This window comes from Homo sapiens, chromosome 17, assembly GCF_000001405.40.
Source record: "Homo sapiens chromosome 17, GRCh38.p14 Primary Assembly".
Taxonomy (NCBI): Eukaryota; Metazoa; Chordata; class Mammalia; order Primates; family Hominidae; genus Homo; species Homo sapiens.
In genome coordinates this window covers 80,200,410-80,227,078 of record NC_000017.11, presented here as the reverse complement: position 1 = coordinate 80,227,078, position 26,669 = coordinate 80,200,410, and the positions used below count along the sequence as shown (strand labels likewise).

The window sequence follows — 26,669 nt, the reverse complement described above, 5'->3', positions numbered from 1 at the left end:
GTCAGTAAGGCCCCTTTTACATGACAGCCCGTGACGCTCTCTGACTGGTCAGGCTCCGTAATCACTGCTCCCCCATCTGGCCGACCCCTGCCCACTGGTGCCTCTGAAGAGCAAAGAACCCACTGGCTTCCAGCTGGGTTCAGCTGCTGGGAAGCTTCGGCAGCAGATCAGAGGGGAGGGGAAGATGGTCCAGGATCGCCCCCACTCCCTCCAGGCCACAGCACTGGGCAGCCATCTCTATAGCTCCCCTAGATCATTTCCTCCTCCAGCCCCTTCCAGCCAGAGAGGTAGAGAGGCATCCTGCCTTCCCGCTGGATGGTCTGGCAGGGAGGTACCCCTCATCAGAGGCTTTTCTTTTCGGGGGGGCAGGGCAGGGCGGAGATGGAGTCTCACTCTATCACCCGGGCTGGAGTGCAGTGGCGTGATCTCAGCTCACTGCAACCTCCGCCTCACAGGTTCAAGCAATCCTCCTGCCTCAGCCTCCTGAACAGCTGGGACTACAGGCACGCACCATCACACCCGACTAATTTTTGTATTTTTAGTAGAGACGGAGTTTCACCATGTTGACCAGGCTGGTCTTGAACTCCTGACCTAAGATGATCTGCCCACCTGGGCTTCCCAAAGTGCTGGGATTACAGGTGTGAGCCACAGTGTCCGGCCATCAGAGGCTCTTTAAACCACCTGAGGGAAGTGCTTGGGTCGCCTCATCTCTCATCACAGCTCCACCTGCCGTCCCTGCACCACCTGCGTTCTGTCTGGGTTAGCTCCCCACGCCCTGTGTTCTCCTCCTTAACAAATCACAGCCTGGGGGAGACACACTGCCTTCTTTTTCTTTACACAGACTCTCCCCATTCCTGTCCCCCAAGAAAGCTTTGTGGAGAGAGGAACATTGCCCTGCTCCAGCTCCCCAGAGCAGAGCTTCTTGAACTCTCCCCTGCGCGCAGACCACCGGCCTCCTGTTAAAACTGTGGCTCTGATAGGGCAGGTCTGCAAAGGACTGAGAGTCTCATTTCTTGCCAGCTTGCAGGTGCTGCTGATGGGGCTGCTCTGGGGACCCCTGTTTGAGCAGTCACCAGGGGTGGGGAAACTGAGGTGGGGGCCGGGAGAGGAGGTGTGGAAGAAGGAGCTTCCTTATAGGAGGGAGGAACAAAGCCCGGGGTACCTGGTCTCTGCAATCCTGAGGAAGGTGTGGTACACCTGCAGGAAGAACGGCCTGGGGATGTTCTGTAGTCCCAGCAGGTTCTGTCCAAACACAGAGATGCTGATCAGAGGCTATGCTCCCAAACCAAGGCCATCTGTCCCCAGCTCCCCGCCCACCTCCCCTAGGGCTGAGACAGTGTCCCCCGGCCCTGCTCCCAACCCTTATTCCCGGGGCCCATCTTAGGGGCTCAGGGGTCCACCTGCCCACTCCCAACGCCCCCTAGGGCAGGAGATCAAAGCTACCCTCGTGGGAGACAGTACTTCACAATTACTGGGTCAGTGATATGTTTTTCTCTAAATTACTTTTCTCATAAAAAACAATGTAGGTGACCCCACAGCAGGCAGACAGGTTCTACAGCTTGATGGCCAGGGGCCATGGGCTGCCTGGCCCCACCCCCATTGGCTCCAGGCCACTCAGCAGCCAGGCCCCCTGCAGTGTAGACCCTTGCTGCCATTGGCTTGAGAATGTCTCCCTCACTAGGTGCCCCGCCACCCCCCAGCTCCGCTGCTGCGGGAGGAAAAATCTCTTCGTAGTGTGCAGATGTGGAGGGCTCTGAGGGGCTTCAAGAAACCAGCTTGGGGAATCCTCGGCAAAGTAGGAGCCTCCCACCACGATACCAGCTCTGAGGTCCTGGGCAGGAGAAGGCACTCTATCCTGTGTTTTAGTTTAGTTTTTTTTTCTTTAGAGAGCGGCGGGGGGTTGGGGGGTGGGGGTCTTGCTTGCTCTGTGGCCCAGGCTGGATTCGAACTCCTGGGCTCCAGTGATCCTCCCACCTCGGCCTCCCACGTAGCTGGGATCCACAGTGCAGGCACAGCTTGCACTTTAGTTCTTTACATCGCCTGAGACCCAACAGGAGTCAGAGGGGAAAGTTGAGGCCCTGGATCCCATGGCCACAGGCTCAAGGACCCTGCCCTAAAACTGCTGCGCACAGGGTGGGTGGGGTTAGGACATCCTGGGGGGCGGACTCTGGGACTGTTGGGGTAGGGTCTTCTGTCCTGGGCCTGTCAGGAGGACGCCCCTCCCCCCAGATGGCTGCAGAGTCCCTGGGCGGGGCTAGGGTTGCCAAGTATGAAGGCATGAACAAGGGATGCCTTCCACTCTCCACTCTCCGCTCTCCACTCTCACTGGGATCCTACAAAAGAACATTCTTGACACCAAAAATGATGTTTCCAGATTAAAGAACCAACCATGCCCTGAAACAGCATTTGCCAAGCTAACCCTGAGAGATGCGTGTAGATAACGTACAAATCACGCTCACCCACACCTAAGTTGGTCCCTCCTCTCTCAAATGGAAATAATGATAAATCTACCTCCCGGGGTGTGTTGAGAATTACACATGGAGAGTGTCCTGCCCAGTGCCTCGCACGTAGCAAGAGTGCAAAAAGTGTCTACTTTATTCTCACACTCACACACTCACACTCTCACACTCACACTCTCACACCCACACCCACTCTCACTCACTCACACTCACTCTCACACTCATACACTCACACACGCGCGCGCGCACTCACACTCCCTCACACCCACACCCACTCTCACACTCTCACTCATACACACTCACACTCTCTCACACACACACGCACACTCACTCACACACGCACTCACTCACACACGCACACACTCACACACTCCCTCAAACCCACTCACACTCTCACACACTCACTCATTCACACACTCACACACACTCATACACACTCTCACACACACTCTCCTGTCCTTGGTCTTCTCATGGTACCTCCATCAGGGAAGACTGTCTCAGGCCAGCCTGGAACAGGGCCTGGCTTGGGGAAGATGACCTGCAGTGACACAGGGTCAGGAGGCAGCATGTGACCCTAGTCTGCCATGAGGGCCGCATGGTCCCATCTGTGGAATTGGGCTCACTTCACTCCACACACACCCCACTGAGCACCCCCCTACTGCACCAGCCCAATGCTGGGCGGCCATGGCTGGGAGAAGGACAGTTCCTACCCTCGAGGAACTTACAACCCAGCAAAAACAGAATAAATTACACCCTCAGCTGATGACTGATTTTAGTACTTATTATAAATGTTTTAAAAGAAAATATAAAAGGCATGGCATTTAAAAAATATTAAACAGAAACCAGAAAAAAAAGCACAAAACAAAACCATCTAACTAAATTGGCATGGGGAAATAATTTGCCTATAGAAATTCTAGCAGCATGCTCATGACTGGTGGGGCCTGCTGGGTGTGCCCAGTGCAGGGAGAACAGAGCCACGTCACAGAGCCAGCCAAGCACACTGGCACGGAAACTCGGGCAAGAGCAGGGGGATGGAATTACCGGCCCCCAAGTTACCCGCTGTGAAATCCAACCATCACGTGACATCCCTCCCAGGAGGGTCATTTTATTAACAGGGGACCCATGAGAGCACCGCGTGCTTCTTGACCCATGGAAGACAATCTGAAACAGCAAGACGTCCACTGGCCACAGGGATCAGGACTGGCCTCAGTCCTGCTCCCGCCATCCCTGTGCCAACGAGCAGTGGCCAAAGAGCAGTGCCCTGGGTGGGCGCCGTGCCTACCTTGATCTGTCCAAAGCCGATGGTGACGGCAGCAGCAGAGGTGAAGCCTTTAATGACGGGGTAGGAAATGAAGTCCAGCAGGAACCCTGGCCAGCCAAGAGGGGACATCGAGCTGGTCCCGGCTCCACCCAGTCCCAGAGGATGAGGGGAGATGTGAGCTGGGGAAGGTGGCAATGGGTGGGATTGGGGAGCAGATACCGCAGCTAAGGACTGGGGGTAACACACCCTGTTTGGCTGTTTTTGGAGAGCAGAAAAGGGAGACTGGGGTCTGAGGCCACAGGCACTTCTCCAAGTGTCCTGGCCTCTAAGCAGAAAAGAGTAGACTAAGAGCCAAGTGCCCCACCCCCTCCACCACCCACCCACCTACACACACACACATACATACCCACACCCCAACACGCACACACACGCACACGGGGATAGACTTGAAATGCAAACAAGCAAATGCTGAGGTCGAGGGCATCCCCTTGGCAAGAAGGTAGAGCCTCACCCAAACGCAGGACCCCCATGGCCAGCTGGATGCAGCCGGACAGGAAGGCCAGCAGCACAGCGTAGGCGGGCTCATGGAAGGTGTAGAAGGAGACCAGGAGGGACATAATGGCGGTGGGGCCCAGAGTCACATCCCGGGAGGTGCCCAGGAAGAAATACACGAAGCAGCCCATGAAGGCAGAGTAGAGGCCATACTGTGGGGAGAGAGGGTGGTGAGCACTCAGGAGGCCGAGGCCCATCCACCAGCTCCCTAGTGTGCGTGTCCAAGCTCGGGATGTGTGGGTGTCAGCTGTGTCCAGGCCCAGGTTAAAGGTGCACCGCCCTGCCCTGTGGGTGGACCTGCAGTGATCAGGAGGCCACTTTTTTAGCAGCACTCAACTGGGGCCTCAGGGTGCAGACAGCCAGGCAGAGGGGTCGGTGCAGGCCCGTGTGCTGTGTCCAAGTCTGAGGAAGCATTCTTTTTTTTTTTTTTTGAGATGGAGTCTCGCTCTGTCGCCCAGGCTGGAGGGCAGTGGCACAGTCTCGGCTCACTGCAAGCTCCGCCTCCCGGGTTCACGCCATTCTCCTGCCTCAGCCTCCCAGGTAGCTGGGACTACAGGCACCCGCCACCACACCTGGCTAATTTTTTGTATTTTTAGTAGAGACGGGGTTTCACCCTGTTAGCCAGGATGGTCTCCATCTCCTGACCTTGCGATCCGCCTGCCTCGGCCTCCCAAAGTGCTGGGATTACAGGCTTGAGCCACCGCACCCAGCCTAATTTTTGTATTTTTAGTGGAGACGGGGTTTCACCATTTTGGTCGGGCTGGTCTTGAACTCCTGAGGCCTCCATGAGTCATCTCGCTGGCCCCTCCATAACCAGCTCAGTGTCTGTGTGTGCCAAACAGGCATAGGAGCCTGGGTCGGCCCAGAGACAATCTGCGTCACACACTGTAAACCAAAGGTTCCTTGGGGCCCAGGGGCTGGAAACCTGGAATCGCTGATGGTGTCTGGGATTGATACTGTGTATTCTGCACTGTTTCTGAGATATGGCTGGCAGCAGGGTCAGACGCCTCACCTGGGGCGGGAGTCCAGCCACTTCAGCATAGGCCAGCGCCTGGGGAATGGCAGTGAGGCCAACTGAGAGGCCGGCGACGAAATCCATCTTCAGCCACTGCAGGGAGTAGCTGGGCAGCCACGCCAGGATGGGCAGCCTCCTCTGCAGGGCCGCAGGGGAGCAGCAGCAGGCGCTCGGGGCCATCCCGGGGCCAGAGGACCTGGCCTGACCCAGCGCCGTCACCGAAGAAGGCATCTCTACGGTGGGGCTGGGGGGTGCAGGTGACACAGACCAGCAGTCAGAGCGTGGCCTTTGAAGAACCCGGCAACACTGGTCAGGGTCGGCGGGTGTCAGGAGAGGTCACTATGGGTCTCCCCTCCCCAGGGGGGCGAACGGCTCTAAGAGGAAGCCAACAATGTGTGCAAGATGGGGACTGGGCCAAGACTGGAAGGCCCACCCCGTCCCTCATCACCCTCTCTCCCTGAATCCCCCCCGTGCAAATCCTGGGTGCCTTCTGTCCCTCCATCCTCAACTCTCCCAGATAAGAAACTGATAAGCGATTCCTCATTGAGAAGTCTGAAGACTAATTAGGCTCAACACTTCTGGCCCCTGGAGAACCGACTTCCTTTGCCTTTTTTTCCGTCTCCCCAGGGAATTTAACGGGGAGCAGCGCAGAGAGAAGCTGGGCCCGCGGGCGCACCGTAGGCTGGCGGGGGGTGCGGGTGGCAGCCAGGAGATCCAGCGGGGCTCCGAGGTTTTCCAACTGCGCACCAAGGCGGGCTCCACCCGCTACGGTGGACTGCGGCGCTCGAGGGAGAGTGGGGGGGTCCTCCGCTCCTGAGGCCACGCCTCGCTCAGCCCCCACCTGTGGCTTTCACAGCCCTGGAGTTCTAGTTGCTTCTGGGAGGACATCAGAGGCGCCCGGTTAATTCAGGTGCGCAGCATCTTCCAGGGCCCCGGCGCCCGCGCGCAGAGCCGCCACCCTCACCCCCAGCCCCCCACGCCCCCGGCCGCTCCGCTCCGGGCAAAATCCACTCCCCGGCCCCCGGCCCCGCCCACAAGGCCGCTGGCTCCGGATCCTGGGGTCTCCGGAGGAGACCCTGCGCCACCTGACCGTCCGCGGTCCCTTGGCCCCGAGCAAGGCCGAGGGCCGCGGGGACCCGGGTAGGGACGCGGCGGGGGAGTGGTCCCCACGGGAGGCCCCCGCACTTCAGGACTCCGCGCTGGCCCCCGCGTCGGCTGCCCCCGGCGACCCCGGCCACTGTCCGCTCCCCCTGCCCCTGGTCCCCGCTCGCCGCCCTCGCGGGCCACGGACTCACCCACTCGGCGATGCAGCTTGGGGTCTCCTGGCGTCGCCGCAGCTGGGTCCGCAGGAATCGCCGGGGACAGGCCGGGGCGGGGTCTGGCGCGCACGTGACCGGGGTCGGGGCAGGGGGCGGGGCCGAGCGGGAGACCAGAGAGCCGGAGCCGGATCCCGATCCCGAGTCCGAGCCGCCGCCGCCATGAGCTGCCCCGTGCCCGCCTGCTGCGCGCTGCTGCTAGTCCTGGGGCTCTGCCGGGCGCGTCCCCGGAACGCACTGCTGCTCCTCGGTGAGTGCCGGCGCCGCCCCCCCACGCCCACCTGCGGTGGCCCGGGGAAGTGGCCACTGGCCTCCTCCCCACCCGTGGTCAATGCTGACCCTAGTGTGCCCTGCCCTTGTATCCCCCGCTGCCATTCCCTCTCGTCCTCCTCTCTGTGCCGCCCCCAGACTCTTCACGGGTGTCTCCCCAGAGAGGGCAGCAAAGGCTGGAGGAGTGAGCCCCAGCATCCAGCACCCCTACACTTACCTCGTGCCGCCTGTCCCACCCTCCTCTGACCCTGCCCAGCCAGGGCTCAGGGGTCCACGGATCTCAAATCCCTCTTGGGAGGGGATCCCAGAGGAGGGGCTGGTGCTCCGGTCCCCAGAGACTGCAGACAGGGTGCCCTCCTGGCTCTCATTTCCGACCCCAGAGCCTGTGTCTCAGCTGTCTTTTCCCTTATCCCAAGGGCACAGCCCTCCACCACCCACCCACCACCGTCTCCCCCAACCCCAGTCCCTCTCAGAAACCCCAGGTTCCTCCAGAGCAAGCACCGTGCTGCTCACAAGACTTCCGGTTTAGGTAATCAAGGCTCTGGCTCATGACAAGTGACAAGGCCAAACCCAAGGCCTGCGATTCTTTCCCCTTCTGAGGTCTGGCGCCCTGCCAGTTGCCCTCTTTCTGATTAATTTTGTGGTCTCTGGGCGGGGGTTCGGCTCACTGTAACATAAACAGCTCTCCTGCCAACTCCTCGCCTCCCAGAAACACAGCAGAGAATCTGCATGGACCCTCACCTGCGGATCAGAATTCCTACAGGAGGCTGTCAGAGTCCAGGCTATGCGGCCCCTGGGCTAGGGCCTTTCTTAGCACGGACTGCCATGGATCGGCTTAAACAGAAATGTATTTCTCACAGTTCTGTGGGCTGAAAATCCAAGGTCAGGGTGCCAGCTTGGTTGGGTTCCAGTGAGGGTCCACTTTCGGCTTACAGGTGGTCACCCTCTCACTGTTTCCTCACATGACAAGCGGATGGGGGTGGTCTCACTTCCTTTTCCTTTCTTTTTCCTTTCTTTCCTTTTTTTTTTTTTTTTTTTTTTTTTGTGAGACAGGGTCTCACTCTGTCACCCAGGCTGGAGCACAGTAGCACAATCACAGCTCACTGCAGCCTCAATCTCCCAGGCTCAAGCGATCCTCCTGCCTCAGCCTCCCAAGTAGCTGGGACCTCAAGTGCACATCACCATGCCTGGCTAATTTTTGTATTTTTTGTAGAGACAAGGTCTCACTGTGTTGCCCAGACTGGTCTCGAACTCCTGGGCTCAAGCAATCTTCCTGCCTTGGCCTCCCGGGTGCTGGGCTTACGGGCATGAAACACTGCACCCGGCCCTCTCTTTCTTTTCCTTTAAGTCCACAGTCCTGTCAGATCAGGATCTCATCCTTATGATTCATTTACCCTTAATTAAGGACCCTGTCTCCAGATACAGTGATGTTGACGTTAGGGCTTCAGCATATGAATTCTGGGAGGACACAGTTCAGACCATAGCAGGCCCACAGCCAAGTGCCGAGACACTCTGGGTTTGGAGAAGGGCAGCTTTCTTCCTGGCCTGCGGGTACGGAGCACAGCCCATCCCGCTCTCCCTCCAGGTTTACGTGGCTGCCATGTGCTCACACCTGTGGGTACTGTGGGGTGGAGGATGGAAGCCCAACTGGAAGGTGCCCAGCCTCCTCTGTCCATCCATGGACCACATTGCCTCTGAGGGAGCTGGGGAAAGTGTTGGTCTGGGGGTTCCCACCAGCCTCTCCTGTGGTGCCCCCAGTGTCCTCTACTCCAGAGCAGGGGGAAGAAGCTTGGTGTGGTTGTAGGAGTTCAGCGGCCTGTCCCTGTTTCCTGCTGCCCAGTGTGTGGCCCTGGGCACTGCACCTCACCTTTCTGGGCCTCAGCTGCTTTGTGTAGGATGAAAGGGTTGAAATAGACAACCTGCAAGGTCACTAGGCCTTTGAGATGGCATCAGTGAGAAGCAGCGGTGGGACGCACACACATAGAGCTTTAGACGCGCCCTGGGCGAGGCTCTCCTGCCCTCTGCCCCATGCGGTTTCCGCTGAGCCCAGAATTGCCCAGCAGTTCTGTGGCCATGCGCTCAGCCGCTGTCTGCCTAAATGCCTAGCCGGCTAACACGCCCACCCAGGTAGCATGCCTGCTGGGGTATCATCAAGCTTGTTGGGTCATCATGCCTGCATGAGTATCTTGCCCACTTGGGTACCATGCCTGCCTGCTAACATGCCTATGCAGGTACCAGGCTTGCCTGGGTACCATGCCCATCTGCTTATACCCACCAGCTATCAGTCCAGCCTGTGTACCATGCCCACCTGCCAACATACCCACCGGGTATCATGCCTGCTTAGGGTATCATCAAGCTTATTGTGGTATGATGCCTGCTTATCATGCCCACTTGGATACCATGCCTGCCTGCTAACATACCAACCACGCATCATCCCTGCTGGATACCAGTCTACCTGCTAACATACCCACTGGTATCAGGCCTGCCTGGGTACCATGCCTACCTGCTTATACCCACCATCTATCAGTCCAGCCTCCATACCATGCTCACCTGCCAACATACCCACCATCTATCAATCAGTCCAGCCTCCATACCATGCTCACCTGCCAACATACCCACTGGGTATCAGGCCTGCCTGGGCACCCTGCCTGCTTGCTGATATACCCACCAGGTATTGTGCCTACTAGGTACCATGCCTTCTTGCTAACATACCCAGTGGGTATGGGGTCTTCTGGATACATGCCTGCCTGCTAACATACCCACCAAGTATGAGACCTGCTAACATGCCCTCTGATACCATGCTTGCCTGATGTACCCACTCGGGTGTCATGCCTCCTAGGTAATGGAGTGCTCTGTCACGATAGCATTTCGCGCTGAGTGTTCACACTGAGCCAGTACCATGCCCACCTGGGTGTCTCGCCTTCTGGCATCACAGTCCCAGCCTCCCTCACTCCCAGTGCTGTTTCTCGTGACCGCAGCCGACCGTGCACTCTCTGTCTCCCACCTCACGCAGCGGATGACGGAGGCTTTGAGAGTGGCGCGTACAACAACAGCGCCATCGCCACCCCGCACCTGGACGCCTTGGCCCGCCGCAGCCTCCTCTTTCGCAATGCCTTCACCTCGGTCAGCAGCTGCTCTCCCAGCCGCGCCAGCCTCCTCACTGGCCTGCCCCAGGTGAGGTGCAAGGGGCGGGAGGAGGGGGTGGGCAGGGAGTAGACAGGCTGCGTCCGGGGCCCAGGCCTCTGCCACGTCTCCCATCCCTGGGATCCCGGGGGGTGTTGCCCACTTTCCCTCCCACCTCCAGGAGGAGGCACAGCCTATGGCTGTGAGTGCAGACTAGGGGCTCCGACTCACCCGCCAGCCCTGGCTGCACTGCTGTGTGTGGCCTTGAGCAAGTCACCTACCTCCTTGTGCCTCAGTTTCCTCATCTGTAAGATGGTGGGTGTAATGAGATGCCACTCTAGTTATGGAGATTGGCGGGGCTAATGCTTTGTATGTAAACACTTAGTGCGAGGCCTGGTGGGCTCACTCAGCGTGAACCGCCATGGCCACAGTGTCCCAGGAACGCCATGGTGCAGGGAGCGGACACCGTTAAGGCACACATGCTCCTATTTTACTGTGGTAAAATGCACAAACATCAACATTCCCATCTTAGCCATTTTTCAGCGCACAGTTCCGGGGCATTAAGTGCATTCACAGTGTTATGCAGCCATCACCACCATCCATCTCCAGAACTTTTCCATCTACCCAAACAGAAGCTCTGTCCCATGAAACACCAGCTCCACATTCTCCCTCCCCATCCCCTGTCTCTATGAATCTGACTGCTCCAGGGGCCACATAAGAGTGGAATCACACAGGACTAGTCCTTTTTTTTTTTGAGTTGGAGTCTCACTCTGTCACCCAGGCTGGAGTGCTGTGGTGCGATCGTGGCTCACTGCAGCCTCTGCCTCCCCGGTTCCAGCGAGTCTCCTGCCTCAGCCTCCCGAGTAGCTGGGATTACAGGTGCGCGCCACCACGCCTGTCTAATTTTTGTATTTTTAGTAGAGATGGGGTTTCATCATGTTGGTCAGGCTGGTTTCGAACTCCTGGCCTCAAGTGATCTGCCCGCCTCGACCTCCCAAAGTGCTGGGATTACAGGCGTGAGCCACCGAGCCCGGCCCCCCTTTTGTGTCCTTACTTCACTCAGCACAATGTCCTCAGGGTTAACCATATGCTGTAGCACGAGTCAGAACTTCCCTCCTCTTCAGGGCTGACTCATATTCCAGTGGATGGATGGGCCCCGTATTTTGCTTCTCCATATTCATCCGTCAGTGGGCACTTGGGTTGCTGCTACCCTTTGGCTGTTGTGAATAAAGCTGCTATGAACATGGGTGTTTAAGGACACTTGTTCTTTTAGTCTCACTCTGTTGCCCAGGCTGGAGTGCAGTGGTGTGATCTCGGCTCACTGCAACCTCCACCTCCCAGATTCAAGCCATTCTCCTACCTCGGCCTCCCGAGTAGCTGGGACTACAGGCGCCCGCCACCACGCCCAGCTAATTTTTGTATTTTTAGTAGAGACGAGGTTTCACCATGTTGGCCAGGCTGGTCTCCATCTCCTGACCTCGTGATCCACCTGCGTTGGCCTCCCAAAGTGCCGGGATTACAGGCGTGAGCCACCACGCCCGGCCGGCAGTCTGAGTTTTTAAAATGTACACATCTTTTACAATATAAAATAACTAGGTAATAAAACAAGGCCTGACCCTGTCTTTTTCACTCTGTAACGTGTGATCATAACAGAAGAGTTCAAAAGTACGGATACGCAAAAAGAACATCAAGGCCACCCTCGTGTCGGTGCACGCCCTGCAGGTCCCCTTCTTTCTGGCGAAGTCCTCCTTTCACGGGAGGGACCCATGGGCCTATCGGGCAGGGAGTGGGAGGTACAGCCAGTGTCTCTGGGTGCTGGCCACTCGAAGTCTAAATCAGGGCCCCGAGAAGGCCCCTGGGGATGGGAGGGCCGTGGGAGAACAGGTGCGGCAGGCGGGCTCTGGCTGTCCGGGGGCCCCGGACCTCATGCGCCTTTGCTGGCAGCATCAGAATGGGATGTACGGGCTGCACCAGGACGTGCACCACTTCAACTCCTTCGACAAGGTGCGGAGCCTGCCGCTGCTGCTCAGCCAAGCTGGTGTGCGCACAGGTGAGGACCCCGTGCCGAGGACAGGGCGTGGGGTGAGGCACAGAGGCCAGGCCAGAGCCCAGGAGGTTCGGCACCTTGTACCAAGGCACGCTCAGCCCCCGTGGCCTGCCCTTAGCTCTTGTCCCAAAGGATCTGGGCCTGGGTCTCCTGGCTGGGCTGTGTGTCCACGAGAACCCACAGTGCGCTTAGGGCCGAGAGGGGCAGAGAAGGGAGCAGAAAGGGTTGGGAGGCTGAAGGGACTCTGGCCAGGCCTCTCTTCCCGCCCAGGCATCATCGGGAAGAAGCACGTGGGGCCGGAGACCGTGTACCCGTTTGACTTTGCGTACACGGAGGAGAATGGCTCCGTCCTCCAGGTGGGGCGGAACATCACTAGAATTAAGCTGCTCGTCCGGAAATTCCTGCAGACTCAGGATGACCGGTATGAGTCGGGGCCCCTGCCCCTTCCCCCTGGCGGCCGGTACCAGAGCACAGCCCGGAGTCTTCCGGCGGGATGCATGGGCCCCCACGTGGCTCGAATGGGGGCAGGGGAGAAGGTTCCAGGTACTCGAGTTAGCCTGGTCAGAGGGAGAAGGGACGTGGGGAAACTGAGGCAGTGAGGGTCACAGGTTGACTTCCAGATACAGAGGAGGAGGCAGAGCCGAGGGGCTTCCTGTGCCACGTGGCAGTGGCCCCGCAGCCTTGGCAATGAGCCTCCTCCCGTGCAGGCCTTTCTTCCTCTACGTCGCCTTCCACGACCCCCACCGCTGTGGGCACTCCCAGCCCCAGTACGGAACCTTCTGTGAGAAGTTTGGCAACGGAGAGAGCGGCATGGGTCGTATCCCAGACTGGACCCCCCAGGCCTACGACCCACTGGACGTGCTGGTAGGACGGCCCCTCCTGTGTTTCAGGACGCCCGTCAGCCCTGGGTCGGGGACCCTGGCCTCCTACGAGCTTGCAGCCCTGGCCCTAGATGATGAAGAAAGAGGCTCTGACCAAATCGGATTCAGGTTCCCAACCTCGGGGCCACAGAGAGAACCGTAGAGAGACGGGGTGGTCCGGAGTGAGGCTGTTCTGGGCTAACCCATTTGCAGGAGGCCCCGGGGAGAAGGCTGGACACCGCTCCCCCGGTCTGTCTGTTCTAAGCCTGGCTCCCCACCGCCTGCCCCAGGTGCCTTACTTCGTCCCCAACACCCCGGCAGCCCGAGCCGACCTGGCCGCTCAGTACACCACCGTCGGCCGCATGGACCAAGGTGGGCTTGCAGAACCGGGCACTGGAGGGGGTGCCACGGCCGGGGTCCCCCATCCTGGGCCAGCGCCCTCTTAGGTCACGGCATAATGTGGGTGAGGGTCCCAGTGTGGCAGGCCCTGTGCTGCAGCTGGCAGAGCCCACATTGAGAGGAGGGGCCTGTGGGTGGCATCAGGACCCAACCCCGGGGCTGCCCTGATGTGGACCTGCTCCTGGGCTGGGGCCTTCGGGTGCCCCAGAGGTTGCGTGAAGACTTCAGATATTTCCAGTCACAGGACCTGGGTCAGATTTGGGGGTTTGGAGTTCCTTAGCATATGCAGATGGAGATCTTGAGGTCTGTGAGTTTTTTGTGGTTGATGGCTTACAGCAACCAAAATTTGTACTCCCACAGTTCAGGAGGCCAGAAGTTTGAAATCAAGGTGTCAGCAGGGCCATGCTCCCCTGAAGGCCTAGGGGAGACCCTGCCTTTCCTCTTCCAACTTCTGGGGGCTGTGCCAGTGCTGGGCGTTCCTGGGCTGGCGGCAGAATCGCCCCCATCCCCGCTGAAGCCTTCACATGGCCTTTTTTCCTGTGTCTCCTCTTTGTGTCTCCACTTCTTCTTTTTTTTTTTTTTTGAGACTGAGTCTTGCTCTGTCACCCACGCGGGAGTGCAGTGGCGCAATCTCGGCTCACTACAACCACCACCTCCCAGGTTCGAGCGATTTTTCTGTCTCAGCCTCCAAAGTAGCTAGGACTGCAATCGCACCGCACGCCACCATGCCCAGCTAATTTTTATATTTTTAGTAGAGACGGGGTTTCACCACATTGGCCAGGCTGGTCTTGAACTCCTGACCTCGTGATCCGCCCACCTCAGCCTCCCAAAGTGCTGGGATTACAGGTGTGAGGCACCGCGCCCGGCCTGTTTCCGCTTCTTATAAGGACCCCGTCGGGTTTAGGGCCTACCTGAGCACTTCAGGATGATTTTGTCCCAAGATCTTTATTCGTGAAGTTCCCCTTTCCAAACAAGAACCCCTTCACAGATTCCAGCACACATGTCTTTTGGGGTCAGGGACGACAGGAGGTCAGGACCTTTGCCATTTCCCTATTGGTGCCATTAATTCTTAGTGAGCTGGGAAGGAGCGGGTATAGAGGAAGCCTTGTCCTCTGGCCCCAGCTGGGAAGGAGCGAGTATAGAGGAAGCCTCGTCCTCTGGCCCCTGCCCTATTTGCTCCATGGGACAGACACGAGATTCCGGAGAACTCAAAAGCCGGCGGGCACCAGGGAGCAGCTGCCTGGGGGTGACACAGAAGTGCCAAGGGATGGCTGGAGTCCCTGGAGGCCCATTCGAGGCCTGCTCAGGGAATGGGAGCTGGGCGGAGCTGGGCAAGAGCTGGGCAAGAGCCAGGGCCATTGGGAAGAACTACAGGGTGCTTTCGAATCCGGAAAGCGCTGGAGCCCAGCGGCCGGATGCAGCAGCAGGTGGGTCTACACACACCACCCGCTGCCTCCCTCCGTGTCTGCGGCTGAGCTCTGCTTCTCGGCCCCTCACCACAGGAGTTGGACTGGTGCTCCAGGAGCTGCGTGACGCCGGTGTCCTGAACGACACACTGGTGATCTTCACGTCCGACAACGGGATCCCCTTCCCCAGCGGCAGGACCAACCTGTACTGGCCGGGCACTGCTGAACCCTTACTGGTGTCATCCCCGGAGCACCCAAAACGCTGGGGCCAAGTCAGCGAGGCCTACGTGAGCCTCCTAGGTATGCCTTTGTCTGTCTCCGTCAGGAAAGGTGTGGGAGTGGATCTGGGACGGGGCCATGACCTGTCAGATGCTGCTCCACACCCATTACCTAATGTGGCTCTCATATCATCTGGGTGAGGAAGGGACTGTCACTCCCACTCTACAGAGGAAAAGAATGAGGCTCAGAGAGGTGAAGTAAGCTGCTCAGGATTGCACAGCTGGTAAGCACTAAGCTAGGATTCTCGCCTGGATCCTGCTGCTTTCAAAACCATTGCCTTTTCCCCGCCTACCTCCGATGAGCTTCAGAATCACCTGGGATGCTTGTTAATATCCAAATTGCAAATCCCAGGGTGTCCGATTCAGTAGATCTTGGCGGGCTCAAGAATTTGCATGTCTGACAAGTTCCCAGGTGATGCCGATACTGTGGGCCTGGGGACCCCTCTCTGAGCATCCGTGCACCCCATCCTGCCTTCCTGGGGGACCCAAAGCACCTCATGACCCTGCTCATTCCTAAAAAGACCTAGGACATCTAGTCCCATGTTATGGATGTGCAGACAAAGACACGGGTGCAGGAAGACTTTGTGAGGGGCTCGGGGTGACCCCTTCGGCACAGGGCAGAGGCTCGTGTGTCCTGCCCACTGCCTGGCAGAGCCTCCAGGTGGGGTGGGCCCGGGACAGCAGGAAACTCAGGTTCCCTTTCCCTCCGAGCTCGCGGCCCACATCTCTCTTGGGGCCCACATCTCTCTCTGGCCCCAAATGATGAGCCAGGAGCACTGTGGCCACACCCACCACAGGGGCTGGAGTACACGAGCTACCAAAAAGGAGACTTCTTTTCCAGTCCATGGGATTTTAGAAGGATCCTAAATGTCACCGAATCAGGGCCTCTTGTTATACCATTCAAGGCACTGAGGCCCAGAGAGATGACGTGGCGGTGAGAGGTGTCGGCTCGACAAGGCACCTCCCGCTGCTGATTGGATTGGAGAAGGGAGCCGCCCAGAGTGGCGTAGGTTCGGCCCTTCCGAGGGCAGCTCCTGTGTGCTGAGGGCTCTGCTGCTCTGAGATGCCGCGTCCCTTCCAGACCTCACGCCCACCATCTTGGATTGGTTCTCGATCCCGTACCCCAGCTACGCCATCTTTGGCTCGAAGACCATCCACCTCACTGGCCGGTCCCTCCTGCCGGCGCTGGAGGCCGAGCCCCTCTGGGCCACCGTCTTTGGCAGCCAGAGCCACCACGAGGTCACCATGTCCTACCCCATGCGCTCCGTGCAGCACCGGCACTTCCGCCTCGTGCACAACCTCAACTTCAAGATGCCCTTTCCCATCGACCAGGACTTCTACGTCTCACCCACCTTCCAGGACCTCCTGAACCGCACCACAGCTGGTCAGCCCACGGGCTGGTACAAGGACCTCCGTCATTACTACTACCGGGCGCGCTGGGAGCTCTACGACCGGAGCCGGGACCCCCACGAGACCCAGAACCTGGCCACCGACCCGCGCTTTGCTCAGCTTCTGGAGATGCTTCGGGACCAGCTGGCCAAGTGGCAGTGGGAGACCCACGACCCCTGGGTGTGCGCCCCCGACGGCGTCCTGGAGGAGAAGCTCTCTCCCCAGTGCCAGCCCCTCCACAATGAGCTGTGACCATCCCAGGAGGCCTGTGCACACATCCCAGGCATGTCCCAGACACATCCCACACGTGTCCGTGTGGCCGGCCAGCCTGGGGAGTAGTGGCAACAGCCCTTCCGTCCACACTCCCATCCAAGGAGGGTTCTTCCTTCCTGTGGGGTCACTCTTGCCATTGCCTGGAGGGGGACCAGAGCATGTGACCAGAGCATGTGCCCAGCCCCTCCACCACCAGGGGCACTGCCGTCATGGCAGGGGACACAGTTGTCCTTGTGTCTGAACCATGTCCCAGCACGGGAATTCTAGACATACGTGGTCTGCGGACAGGGCAGCGCCCCCAGCCCATGACAAGGGAGTCTTGTTTTCTGGCTTGGTTTGGGGACCTGCAAATGGGAGGCCTGAGGCCCTCTTCAGGCTTTGGCAGCCACAGATACTTCTGAACCCTTCACAGAGAGCAGGCAGGGGCTTCGGTGCCGCGTGGGCAGTACGCAGGTCCCACCGACACTCACCTGGGAGCACGGCGCCTGGCTCTTACCAGCGTCTGGCCTAGAGGAAGCCTTTGAGCGACCTTTGGGCAGGTTTCTGCTTCTTCTGTTTTGCCCCATGGTCAAGTCCCTGTTCCCCAGGCAGGTTTCAGCTGATTGGCAGCAGGCTCCCTGAGTGATGAGCTTGAACCTGTGGTGTTTCTGGGCAGAAGCTTATCTTTTTTGAGAGTGTCCGAAGATGAAGGCATGGCGATGCCCGTCCTCTGGCTTGGGTTAATTCTTCGGTGACACTGGCATTGCTGGGTGGTGATGCCCGTCCTCTGGCTTGGGTTAATTCTTCGGTGACACTGGCGTTGCTGGGTGGCAATGCCCATCCTCTGCCTTGGGTTAATTCTTCGGTGACACTGGCGTTGCTGGGTGGCGATGCCCGTCCTCTGGCTTGGGTTAATTCTTGGATGACGTCGGCGTTGCTGGGAGAATGTGCCGTTCCTGCCCTGCCTCCACCCACCTCGGGAGCAGAAGCCCGGCCTGGACACCCCTCGGCCTGGACACCCCTCGAAGGAGAGGGCGCTTCCTTGAGTAGGTGGGCTCCCCTTGCCCTTCCCTCCCTATCACTCCATACTGGGGTGGGCTGGAGGAGGCCACAGGCCAGCTATTGTAAAAGCTTTTTATTTTAGTAAAATATACAGAAGTTCTTTTTCTGAACTCATTTATGATGATACCAACCTGAATTCTAGAACAGCTTCCTGATTCTTGGACACTGCTGTCAAAATGACATTCAGTCTGCAACAGCCCCAGGAGGCAGGGGCAAGGCCAGGTGCTGGCGGACCTGGGTCCTCCCCGAGCCCTGAAGGTGGAGTAAAGATGTTTGGCCCAAGAAGGGCTGGGGTGCAAAGCCAGGTCAGGGGAAGGCAGAGTCCGCTGGGCCTTGTACGGGGGTACTGGTGCCAGGCTTCTCTGGGACACCCCCACCGAACAGGCACAGGGGCCACGGGGCACAGACCCACTGAAAGTACCGTCTCCACCACGCAGAGGCTTTATTTACAAGTAAACACACTGGTCTCTGTAAACTGGAGTTCCTGAGGCATCGCAGCCTCAGAAGCTGAGAAAAGGTGGCCAGCGTCACAGCATATGTGGGCTTCTGCCTCTGCCCCGGGCAAGGGTGGCAGCGACCTTGGGGACCACCCAGGCGCCCCACCCGCTGCCTCTGTGCTTTTGGTCACTCCAAAAGCCTTTGACACATCAAAATGTAAAAGGGAAGTGCAGCCCCCATAGATTTGAATCGGGCCTGCAGACAGGCGGTTTTCCAGAGAAGTCCGGGGCCTCCGGTTCTAGGGAAGGCATGGGAAGACGTCCCTCCTGTCCCACTGCAGAAACATTCTCAGGGTTTCCAGTTCAGACCATGCCAAGCCTGGTAAAGGGTGAAGATGTTTCCACAGAAAAGTGTGCAGTTACAAGTGGCTTCACTGTGTGTGACCTGCACGTGGTGAGGGTTCAAGGTTAGACCCCAGCCAGTGGGGAGAGCCGGCCTCATGTGCCAAGGAGCCCACAGCTGTGCCAAGAGGGCCTGGGCTGAGGAACAGGACTGCATTAACAGGCACACAGAAGCCCCCACAGTCCCGGGAAGGGGCACGGTGCATCATCGGGGGCTCTGCTCCGTCCACACCACCTTCTTCTGCTCGTCGGCGATGGCCTGGCGGACACAGCTGAGCAGGCCGTCCAGGTCGCTCCAGCCGTCAGGAGCCAGGCTGCTGTATAGACAGGGCGCCCGGTCCAGGTCTCCCTCCTCCTGCCTCGCAGCCTCCAGGAGCTGCTCCTCTGAGGTGCCCAACCGCTGTAGGCCCTTCCTGCACAGGCCAGAGTTGGGGGGGGCGGGCTCAGGGGAGAGCAAGGGCCCAGGAGCCCTGGCTAGGGTAGTGATGACATGCACCCAAACACCCCTAAACACAGGTGGCCTCGCTTTGAGGGGACCTTGTAAAGAAAATAGGCCCCAGGCCCCAGTGGTGGGAGGCAGGTTGTCTAGAACACAGCCTTGCTTCCTGGAGTAGAAAGGGCACAGTAGCAGGACATCTTGGTCTGTCCCCAGGAAACCAAGTAATTTTTTTACTTTTTTTTTTTTTGTCCTTAGCCGACAAGGATTAGATTGTGCTAGCCAAGCACCAGTAAGTGGAGGGTCAGTGGAGCTGAGGCCGGGTGGGGTTCTGGCCTTACAATGGTCCTCTGAGCTGCTCTTGGGGGAGGGAGTGCCAATTTGTTAATTTACAACTTTAAATTTCAATTATAAAATGTCATTTTCCAGTGACTAGGCTACTTTTGCCCACTGTAAAAGGCACCGTCATCCTGGTATCAAGATTCTGGAGAGGCCAGATTTGAAATCAAGTTTGTTTGGTAAGCGTGAAATCAGAGCAGTTGTTGTTGTTGTTGTTTTGTTTTGTTGAGACAGAGTCTCGCTCTGTCACCCAGGCTGGAGTGCAGTGGCGCGATCTTGGCTCACCGCAACTCCACCTCCCAGTTCAAGTAATTATCATGTCTCAGCCTCCCGAGTAGCTGGGATTACAGGCGCCCGCCGCCACACCTGGCTAGTTTTTGTATTTTTAATAGAGACAGGGTTTCTCCATGTTGGCCAGGCTGGTCTCGAACTGCTGACCTCAAGCAATCTGCCCACCCTGGCCTCCCAAAGTGCTGGGATTACAGGCGTGAGCCACCACGCCCGGCCAAAATCAGGGGAATCTCATGAGCAATCAGCGGGGCCCTTGTCCCAAAGTTGTGCGGAAACGGCCCTGTCAGCGCCTCAGCTTCCTGCAAACCGCAGAGCACACTCCAGAGGCACCTGCCGTGGGCTTTGGGGGAGCCCAGGAGCCGCTTCGAAGCCCCTGCCCAGCCCCCAGCGTGCACCTACTTGAGCTTCTTTGCCATCTTCTCGTTGACAGAGACGTGGATGACGATGGGGAAGATGTCCATCCTGTGCAGGGTGCAGACACTGTCCAGCTGGACGTCCAGGAGGGCATGGGTGTTCTTTGTGGGAGGGAGAGAAGAAGTGAGTCAAGATCACAGGCCTCAGAGGAAGCAAAGGGAGCCAACGCCCAGGTCAGAAGGGCCCTCCGGACAGGCTGAGGGCAGGGCAGGAGCTGGGCAGAGCTGAATTTTGTAGAGGAGATGAGGGAATAGAGCTTGCCACTTTCTTCTCTCTTTTTTTTATTTTTATTTTTTATTTTTTTGAGACGGAGTCTCGCTCTGTCGCCCAGGCTGGAGTGCAGTGGCGCGATCTCGGCTCACTGCAAGCTCTGCCTCCCAGGTTCATGCCATTCTCCTGTCTCAGCCTCCCGAGTAGCTGGGACTACAGGCGCCCACCACCACGCCTGGCTAATTTTTTCTGTTTTTAGTAGAGACAGGGTTTCACCGTGTTAGCCAGGATGGTCTTGATCTCCTGACCTCAGGTGATCTGCCCGCCTCGGCCTCCCAAAGTGCTGGGATTAGAGGCGTGAGCCACCGCACCCGGCCCACTTTTAATTTTTTTAGCTTTTAAATGTTTTGTAGAGACGGGTGTCTCACTGTGTTGCTCAGGCTGGTCTCAAATTCCTGGGCTCAAGCAATCTTCCCGCCTAGGCCTCCCAAAGTGTGGGGATTACAGGCGCGAGCCACTGTGCCCGGCTACTTTCTTCTCTTTTTATTTTTTAATTTTTTTTAGAGACGGGTCTCACTGTGTTGCTCAGGCTGGTCTTGAACTCCTGGGCTCAAGCGATCCTCCCACCTCGGGTTCCCAAAGTGCTGGGATGACAGGCGTGAGCCCCAGGCCCAGCTGAGTTTGCCACTTTCTAAATGAGGCTGTGTGCTATGCAGTATTAAGAGTTTCCATCCCTTTGATTTTTCACTGGGAAAATCTAGAAATTGTGAGCTCTGGGGATGAGGTGAACTTGGCATGGAGCTCCGCCAGCCCCTACAGGAGGCACGCAGATGCCAGACTCGGCTTCCCGTGCCTGTGCAGACACAAAGCTGTGGTTCACGGGGAGCTGCTTTTCACGCGTTTGCGCCTTCAAACGTGGAGAGTGTTGTTAGCTCGGATTTATTCATTCTCGAACAAATATCTATTAAACATCCCCCAAGCTGAGGAAACTGAGATTCAAGGAGTTGGGAGACCTCACCCACAGTCACGTGGATCCTAACTGGCTGAGATGAGTTTTGGGCTCCTGCTGGGCTGTTGGGACCCAGAGGTCGGCGACAAGGTCACCCAGGTCTCAGGTCGGTCCCTGTACCTTTATCTCATCCCCCTCCTCTGCATTCCTGAAACCCTTCCCAGGACAGCTCCCCTGCCCACCCCGCCCTTGACCTCACCTTTTCCATGAGGGACTCCACAGCATGGCGGGTCACCCAGCAGCGGCCCCCGGACACCTCTCCCTCCTGGATGATGTCCCCTCTCTGGCTCCAGGCCTCATACTCCTCCTGGCTCAAGTACTCTACAGGTGACATTGGACGGGGCCATCATAGACCAGCTGTGTGGGGGTCTGGGGGAGTCCCATGGTAAACACCCCTGTCCCCGTGAACCCTGCCAGCACTGGGAGAAGCTCTTCTTAGGATGTCCACTTTACAAACCTGACCCTGCACACCCCGCTCTGTGCCCTGCACCTCCATCCTGAACTATCTGGACACAGCAGGTGAGTGTGGGAATGTGCGTGGTGGGGGAGGGAAGGAGGAGGGAGGAAGGGGAGGAAGGAGGGAGGAAGGGGAGGAGGGAGGGAGGGAAGGTGGAAGGGGTAGAGGGATTCCCAGGCAACAGCATACCTGCCAGGCACTTCTTAAACCCTTGGAGGAGGCACAGTTTCTCGCTCAGGATCTTCCCAACCGCCCTGGGCACGAGGAGCACAGGCCGGGGCCGGGCGGGTCGATGGGGCCGCACCAGGGTATAGGGCACCAGGGTGAGGCAGCTCTCGGCCCAGAAGCACGTGCTGGAGCCTGTGGAGGAGAGGATCCTGAGGGTGGGTGAGGCTGCGGCAGCCCCCAGCCAGCCTACCCTGCCCCGGGAGGGACTGGGTCTGCTTTGCTCACTGCAGCAGCCCCAGCACCTAGAATTCCAGGGGCACAGGCTCAGCGGTCACAGGACTCACTCCCAGTTCCATAGCCCCTGGCTGAGCGGCTCCTTTGCACGGGGGTTACACAGCTCTGTGGCTCTCCAGGGACTGCTTTGCAGCCTGCAACTTAATCCTGTTTCCTATAGGCCCAAGGGAGGATGGCGGAAGCCAGGGTTTTCTTCCTTCCAAAGGATCTGGGAGAGTGGCACCCTTCTCCTCAGCCATCCTCCAGGGCACAGGGTCCTAGCCCTCCCTCTGTCCTGTACTCCTCTCCTGAAATTTTTTTTTTTTCCTGAGACAGAGTTTTGCTCTTATTGCCCAGGCTGGAGTGCAATGGCACCATCTCGGCTCACTGCCACCTCTGCCTCCCGGGTTCAGGCGATTCTCCTGCCTCAGCCTCCCGAGTATCTGGGATTACAGGTGTGCGCCACCACACCCAGCCCCATGATTCTTGAAGACCAGATCCTGGCCTAAATGAGTGGCATCCCCCTGCCCCAGCTGACCAACTAGCAGCAGCTCCCAAAGCCCCTCACCCACTTGGAGCCAGTGGCCCCTGTGCCAGCTCACCAGGCCTCACCCTCCATCCTGCTGGGGTCCAACTGGCCCCTGTCAAAGGACAAACGCAGAGGGCTGGCCTTGGCTTTGTCCATACTGACGATGCGGACCAGCTTCTGTGGTCCCCCAGAAGATGGCTAAAGGAGGGACAGAGAAAGGATGAGGAGGAGCTGTTGAAGCCATCAACAGGAATGGGAATTCAGGGGAGATGATTGGCACTAGGGCGACCTGGGAGTGATGCAGAGGCGCAGATGCTCTGAGAACAGCCTGAGGTGTGTCTGCACTTGTGCAAGAGCCTGCAGGCTGGGCAGGGGCTGCAGACCCTGCCCTGGTTTGAAGGGGTGCAGAGGAGAGACAGGTGGGGTTACCCTCCAATCAGCAGCCCACTCTCCACACAGTGCCTCCTGCCACCCTGCCAGCACCGAGCCCCTCTTCCAGCCCACCCCAGTGGGGTCCAGGCCCCTCCCTGGAGCCTCACCTTGCGGGTCACGGTGCACTGCTGAGTCATGTCCTGGATGAGGGCTATGAGCTGCTGCTGAGCCCTGCAGAGACCAGCAGAGGCCCTGACCCAGCTGCCTCCTGCCAGGTGAGCAGGGCAGGGGAGAGCCGAGCAGGGGAGAGTGGGGGAGATGGCCGGGTGGGAGAGAAGGGCCTCCACCTAGAGCTCCACACATCCCTTTGCTGCAGGCTGGAGCGCTCCATCCTGGCGGCCATGCCAGTCTCCAGAGCTTTCAAAAGACTCCAGGGCCTCGGCCCACCCCTGGAGATGCTGATTTACTTGTCCTGGGGCGGGACCCAGGGGGTGCTGTTGAGCAGCCAGCGTACAGGGCCCCACTCCAGGACCTCAATATTCATGGTGGGTCCCTGGCCTGCAGCCTGGAGTCACCGAGAGAGCTGTTAGAAATGCAGAGTGCCAGGCCTCTCCCTGGACCTGCTGGCTCCGATCCCCAGGGGACTTGAGTTTGCAATGAGTGATGGGGGTGCTGAGCTCAACACTCCTGCTTTCTAGCACTGTGCGTTCCGTGCACTTGAAACTTGGAGCCTCCCATAGGCTGATCTAGAACAATGGTTTCCTTTTCTTTTTTTTTTTTTTTGAGACAGAGTCTCACTCTGTCGCCCAGGCTGGAGTGCAATGGCTCAATCCCGGCTCACTGCAACCTCTGCCTCCGGGGTTCAAGTGATTCTCCTGCCTCAGCCTCCTGAGTAGCTGGGATTACAGGCACCTGCCACCACGCCCAGCTAAGTTTTTTGTATTTTTAATAGAGACAGGGTTTCACCAGGTTACCCAGGCTGGTCTCGAACTCCTGACCTCAGATGATCCACCCGCCTCGGCCTCCCAAAGTGTTTGGATTACAGGTGTGAGCCACCATGCTCGGCCTAGAGCAGTGGTTTTCAATGGAGCAAGGCAGGGGGCAATGTCACTCCCCAGGGAGGGTGACCAGCTGTCCCTGCTTGCCCAGGACCGAGGGGCTTCCCTGCAAGTGGGGCTTTCAGTGCTAAGACCAAGACAGTCCTAGGAGAACCAGGGGACCCTTGGCAACCTATAGAGACATTTCTGGTTGTCACAGCTGGGGCATGGGAGTAGTCCCGGCATCCTGGGTAGGGCGGCCAGGGATGCTGCTCTATATCCTGCAGTGCCCAGGACGGCCCCACCACAGACGGGGATCCAGCCCCAAACGTCCATGGTACCAAAGCTAAGAAACCCAGAGCTAAGAAACCCAGATCTAGAATGTTCTAGAATGAACATTTCATTTGCAATATATAAAGCATCCATCACAAAGAAACAACATCTTCAGCAGTGATCTTGGCAGGCTTCCCTCCTTAGGGGGGTCTCACCACGCCCACCCTCTATTGCTGGGCAGGAGGAGGAAGCCGAGGCAGGCTGGGTGCCATTTCCCTGTGGGCCTCTCTGGGGACGCACCGAGCTCGAGGCAGCTGCTCACCTGGAGTAGTTGGGGATGGTGCCGTGCGCGGCAGTATCCTTCATGGTGTAAGAGTTCACGCGGTGGGCATGCCAGCAGCCGCAGCCCTGGAACATGGTGTCGGTGACGTGCAGGACCTCGTTGCAATGCACCTGCAGCTCCCCTTTGGCCCTGCCCTCCATGGCCAGGTTGACCCGGATGTAGAATGAGTCCCCCGAGGTCGCCACTTTGGCCTCCAGGTCCTGGAGTAGCCTCTTATAACCTGATAAAAGGGGACATGAGCCACAGATGAGCCACAGATACGAGCCTCTGCGAGGAAGGTTGCAGAAAATTAAAGTAGGAGAGAAGGAAGGACCCTCCCAGTCTCAGAAGCTGCTCTGGCACTGGAGTCAGTGGGTGGGAGGTTTCCAGCTGGCTTGGGGGCCTCCTGGGGACCTGGGGCACAGCCTGGCTGATCCTCTCTTGGCTCTGGGGGTCCCTGGCTGCTGGGCGTGCAGAAGAACCACCAGGGACTTAAGGGTCATGGAGTCTGGCCAGGCAGCTGTGCACACGAGAGGAGTGGTATGTGTACCGTCCGTGTTGACCTTCACAGACAGGCAGCAGAAGCCGTCCACCCTCCTGAGAAGCCCCACGGCCTCCTCCAGGGTCGTGTCCTCCAGGACTGCCTTGAACAAGGGCTCTGAGGCTTCGTAATCAACCTGAGGGCAAGTCGAGAAGGTCAGTCTCTTTCCCCCGGGACTCTGAATCCAGCCAGAAGACAGAAGGCGCTGAGGGCACTGAGGCGAGGCGCGGGCCAGCCCTGCCGTAGGACCACTGCCTGCACGCCTTGGTCAAAACAAAGCCACACACCAGAGCCTCTGTGGGGCCTTCACACCTCTAGTGATGCGTGCTACACATAGTGCTGGCCAGAGAGTCAACTGCCAACCCTTCCCCAGTCGAGATCGGGGGTTCTTTGTGATAAGCACTTTCCTGTCTTGAAAAAGAAAAGAAAAGAAAAGAAAGAACCTCGGTTCTAGAACATTCAAGAGCATTCTAGATAGAGGTTTCTTAGCCTTGGGATCATTCTGTGCTGCTGCGGGCTATACCGGGCCCTACAGGATGCTGAGTGGCATCCCTGGCCTTCACCTACCCGATGCCCTGGCTCTCCACCCACAGCCTTCCCCACTGTGAAGGCCCACCCCCCAGGGCTTCCACCATCCACTTCATTTCTTCTCAATATTGTTCTAAGCTTAGGAGAGTAGATATTTTTACAATAAAAATTAAGATGTGTTTTAACACCATTAGAATCTAATTGGCCCCCTTAGGATATCGGGACTATCTCCCTGAACATCGTCAAGGGGCTCTGTTGCTTGAACTACCTCAGAGCTGATAATTGGGAACCTTAAGAGCAGGGTTCCCCAACCCCTGGGCCACATACTGGTACTGGTCCATGGTCCATCAGGACCCGGGTCACACAGCAGGAGGGGCGTGGTGGGCAAGTGAGCATTACGGCCTCAGCTCCACCTCCTGTCAGCTCAGCACAGCAGTAGATTCTCAGAGGAGCATGAGCCCTATCGTGAACTGTGCAAGTGAGGGATCTAGGTTTCACGCTCCTTATGAGAATCTAATTCCTGATGATCTGTTACCGTCTCCCATCACCCCCAGATGGGACCGTCTAGTTGCAGGAAAACAAGCTCAGGGCTCCCACTGATTCTGAATTATGGTTCAGTGTATGATTCTTTCATTACATATTACAGTGTAATAATAATAGAAATAAAGTGTACAATCAATGTAACGTGCTTGAATCATCCCAAAACCATCCCCCACAACCCGGTCTGTGGAAAAGTTGTCTTCCATGAAGCCGGTCTCTGGTGCCAAAAAGGTTGGGGACTGCTGCTTAAGAGGACAACTAGAAATGTAAAGAAGGGCTGGGCATGGTGGCTGATGCCTGTAATCCCAGCACTTTAGGAGGCTGAGGTGGGTGGATCACTTGAGGTCAGGAGTTCGAGATCAGCCTGGCCAACATGGTGAAGCCCTGTCTCTACTAAAAATA

The 26,669-nt window shown here is 58.0% G+C and overlaps 3 protein-coding genes across 59 annotated transcripts in view, besides 8 other annotated features; 1 reads left to right on the top strand and 2 right to left on the bottom strand.

The window, feature by feature from the left end:
- Positions 1-6,652, bottom strand: part of SLC26A11 (solute carrier family 26 member 11) — a 33,074-nt gene extending 26,422 nt beyond the window's left edge. Inside the window, exons 1-6 of one of the 10 annotated variants that reach the window (XM_006721833.3) lie at positions 6,583-6,652; positions 5,964-6,163; positions 5,285-5,531; positions 4,232-4,424; positions 3,742-3,899; positions 1,163-1,242 (exon numbers count right to left, since the gene is read on the bottom strand). In XM_006721833.3, the coding sequence (XP_006721896.1) occupies positions 1,163-1,242; positions 3,742-3,899; positions 4,232-4,424; positions 5,285-5,518 (665 nt within the window). In that variant the 5' untranslated portion in view covers positions 5,519-5,531; positions 5,964-6,163; positions 6,583-6,652. Of the gene's footprint in view, positions 1-1,162; positions 1,243-3,741; positions 3,900-4,231; positions 4,428-5,284; positions 6,164-6,582 lie in introns of those variants that run through there. The other 9 variants (NM_001166347.2, XM_017024507.2, NM_173626.4 and 6 more) reach the window with 9 other exon arrangements.
- Positions 272-773: an enhancer, noted in NCBI's record as "H3K4me1 hESC enhancer chr17:78200105-78200606 (GRCh37/hg19 assembly coordinates)". NCBI's record gives its function as "activates a minimal SCP1, AML or CMV promoter by ChIP-STARR-seq in naive H9 embryonic stem cells {active_cell/tissue: H9 hESC(naive)}" and the evidence as "EXISTENCE:reporter gene assay evidence [ECO:0000049][PMID:30033119]".
- Positions 3,252-4,089: an enhancer, noted in NCBI's record as "H3K4me1 hESC enhancer chr17:78196789-78197626 (GRCh37/hg19 assembly coordinates)". NCBI's record gives its function as "activates a minimal SCP1, AML or CMV promoter by ChIP-STARR-seq in primed H9 embryonic stem cells {active_cell/tissue: H9 hESC(primed)}" and the evidence as "EXISTENCE:reporter gene assay evidence [ECO:0000049][PMID:30033119]".
- Positions 4,090-4,927: an enhancer, noted in NCBI's record as "H3K4me1 hESC enhancer chr17:78195951-78196788 (GRCh37/hg19 assembly coordinates)". NCBI's record gives its function as "activates a minimal SCP1, AML or CMV promoter by ChIP-STARR-seq in primed H9 embryonic stem cells {active_cell/tissue: H9 hESC(primed)}" and the evidence as "EXISTENCE:reporter gene assay evidence [ECO:0000049][PMID:30033119]".
- Positions 6,425-6,494: a silencer, noted in NCBI's record as "silent region_9103". NCBI's record gives its function as "represses an Ori minimal core promoter by ATAC-STARR-seq in GM12878 lymphoblastoid cells {active_cell/tissue: GM12878}" and the evidence as "EXISTENCE:reporter gene assay evidence [ECO:0000049][PMID:35858748]".
- Positions 6,515-6,784: a silencer, noted in NCBI's record as "silent region_9102". NCBI's record gives its function as "represses an Ori minimal core promoter by ATAC-STARR-seq in GM12878 lymphoblastoid cells {active_cell/tissue: GM12878}" and the evidence as "EXISTENCE:reporter gene assay evidence [ECO:0000049][PMID:35858748]".
- Positions 6,746-26,406, top strand: SGSH (N-sulfoglucosamine sulfohydrolase). Of its 32 annotated transcripts, XR_007065413.1 has the most exons (14): positions 6,746-6,853; positions 9,887-10,047; positions 11,941-12,046; positions 12,314-12,464; positions 12,751-12,907; positions 13,194-13,275; positions 14,805-15,008; positions 19,394-19,482; positions 20,025-20,181; positions 21,199-21,554; positions 21,645-21,746; positions 22,483-23,301; positions 24,578-24,691; positions 25,234-26,406. XR_007065413.1 is itself a non-coding variant. In NM_001352922.2 (9 exons), coding segments are annotated over exons 1-9 (1,005 nt in total). In that variant the 5' UTR covers positions 6,746-6,765; the 3' UTR covers positions 16,069-17,803. The 32 variants fall into 32 exon arrangements, 4 of the variants coding, with proteins under 4 accessions (NP_001339851.1, XP_011523428.1, NP_000190.1 ...); XR_001752590.2 differs by having other exon boundaries at positions 21,199-21,746; positions 23,114-23,301; XR_007065411.1 differs by lacking the exon at positions 24,578-24,691 and having other exon boundaries at positions 21,199-21,746; positions 22,483-22,580; positions 23,114-23,301; positions 25,230-26,406.
- Positions 7,585-7,704: an enhancer, noted in NCBI's record as "active region_12929". NCBI's record gives its function as "activates an Ori minimal core promoter by ATAC-STARR-seq in GM12878 lymphoblastoid cells {active_cell/tissue: GM12878}" and the evidence as "EXISTENCE:reporter gene assay evidence [ECO:0000049][PMID:35858748]".
- Positions 16,832-16,987: a silencer, noted in NCBI's record as "fragment chr17:78183891-78184046 (GRCh37/hg19 assembly coordinates)". NCBI's record gives its function as "represses an EF-1alpha promoter that drives an FKBP-Casp9 reporter gene in an ReSE screen in phorbol 12-myristate 13-acetate-treated (for megakaryocytic differentiation) K562 erythroleukemia cells {active_cell/tissue: K562(+PMA)}" and the evidence as "EXISTENCE:reporter gene assay evidence [ECO:0000049][PMID:32094911]".
- CARD14 (caspase recruitment domain family member 14) overlaps positions 17,748-26,669 on the bottom strand; it is a 39,302-nt gene continuing 30,380 nt past the window's right edge. For 11 of the 17 annotated variants that reach the window (XM_047436713.1, XM_047436714.1, NM_001366385.1 and 8 more), the window contains 8 exons: positions 25,209-25,335; positions 24,659-24,899; positions 23,194-23,257; positions 22,738-22,852; positions 21,874-22,044; positions 21,427-21,548; positions 19,994-20,109; positions 17,748-18,941 (listed from right to left, as the gene is read on the bottom strand). In XM_047436713.1, coding sequence (XP_047292669.1) covers positions 18,734-18,941; positions 19,994-20,109; positions 21,427-21,548; positions 21,874-22,044; positions 22,738-22,852; positions 23,194-23,257; positions 24,659-24,899; positions 25,209-25,335 — 1,164 coding nt within the window. In that variant the 3' untranslated portion in view covers positions 17,748-18,733. Of the gene's footprint in view, positions 20,110-21,426; positions 21,549-21,873; positions 22,045-22,727; positions 22,853-23,193; positions 23,258-24,447; positions 24,900-25,208; positions 25,336-26,669 lie in introns of those variants that run through there. The other 6 variants (XM_047436721.1, NM_001257970.1, NR_047566.2 and 3 more) reach the window with 5 other exon arrangements.
- Positions 21,294-22,493: an enhancer, noted in NCBI's record as "MED14-independent group 3 enhancer chr17:78178385-78179584 (GRCh37/hg19 assembly coordinates)". NCBI's record gives its function as "activates an origin of replication core promoter dependent on BRD2, BRD4, P300/CBP and CDK7 cofactors, and independent of MED14, by STARR-seq in HCT116 cells {active_cell/tissue: HCT116}" and the evidence as "EXISTENCE:reporter gene assay evidence [ECO:0000049][PMID:35650434]".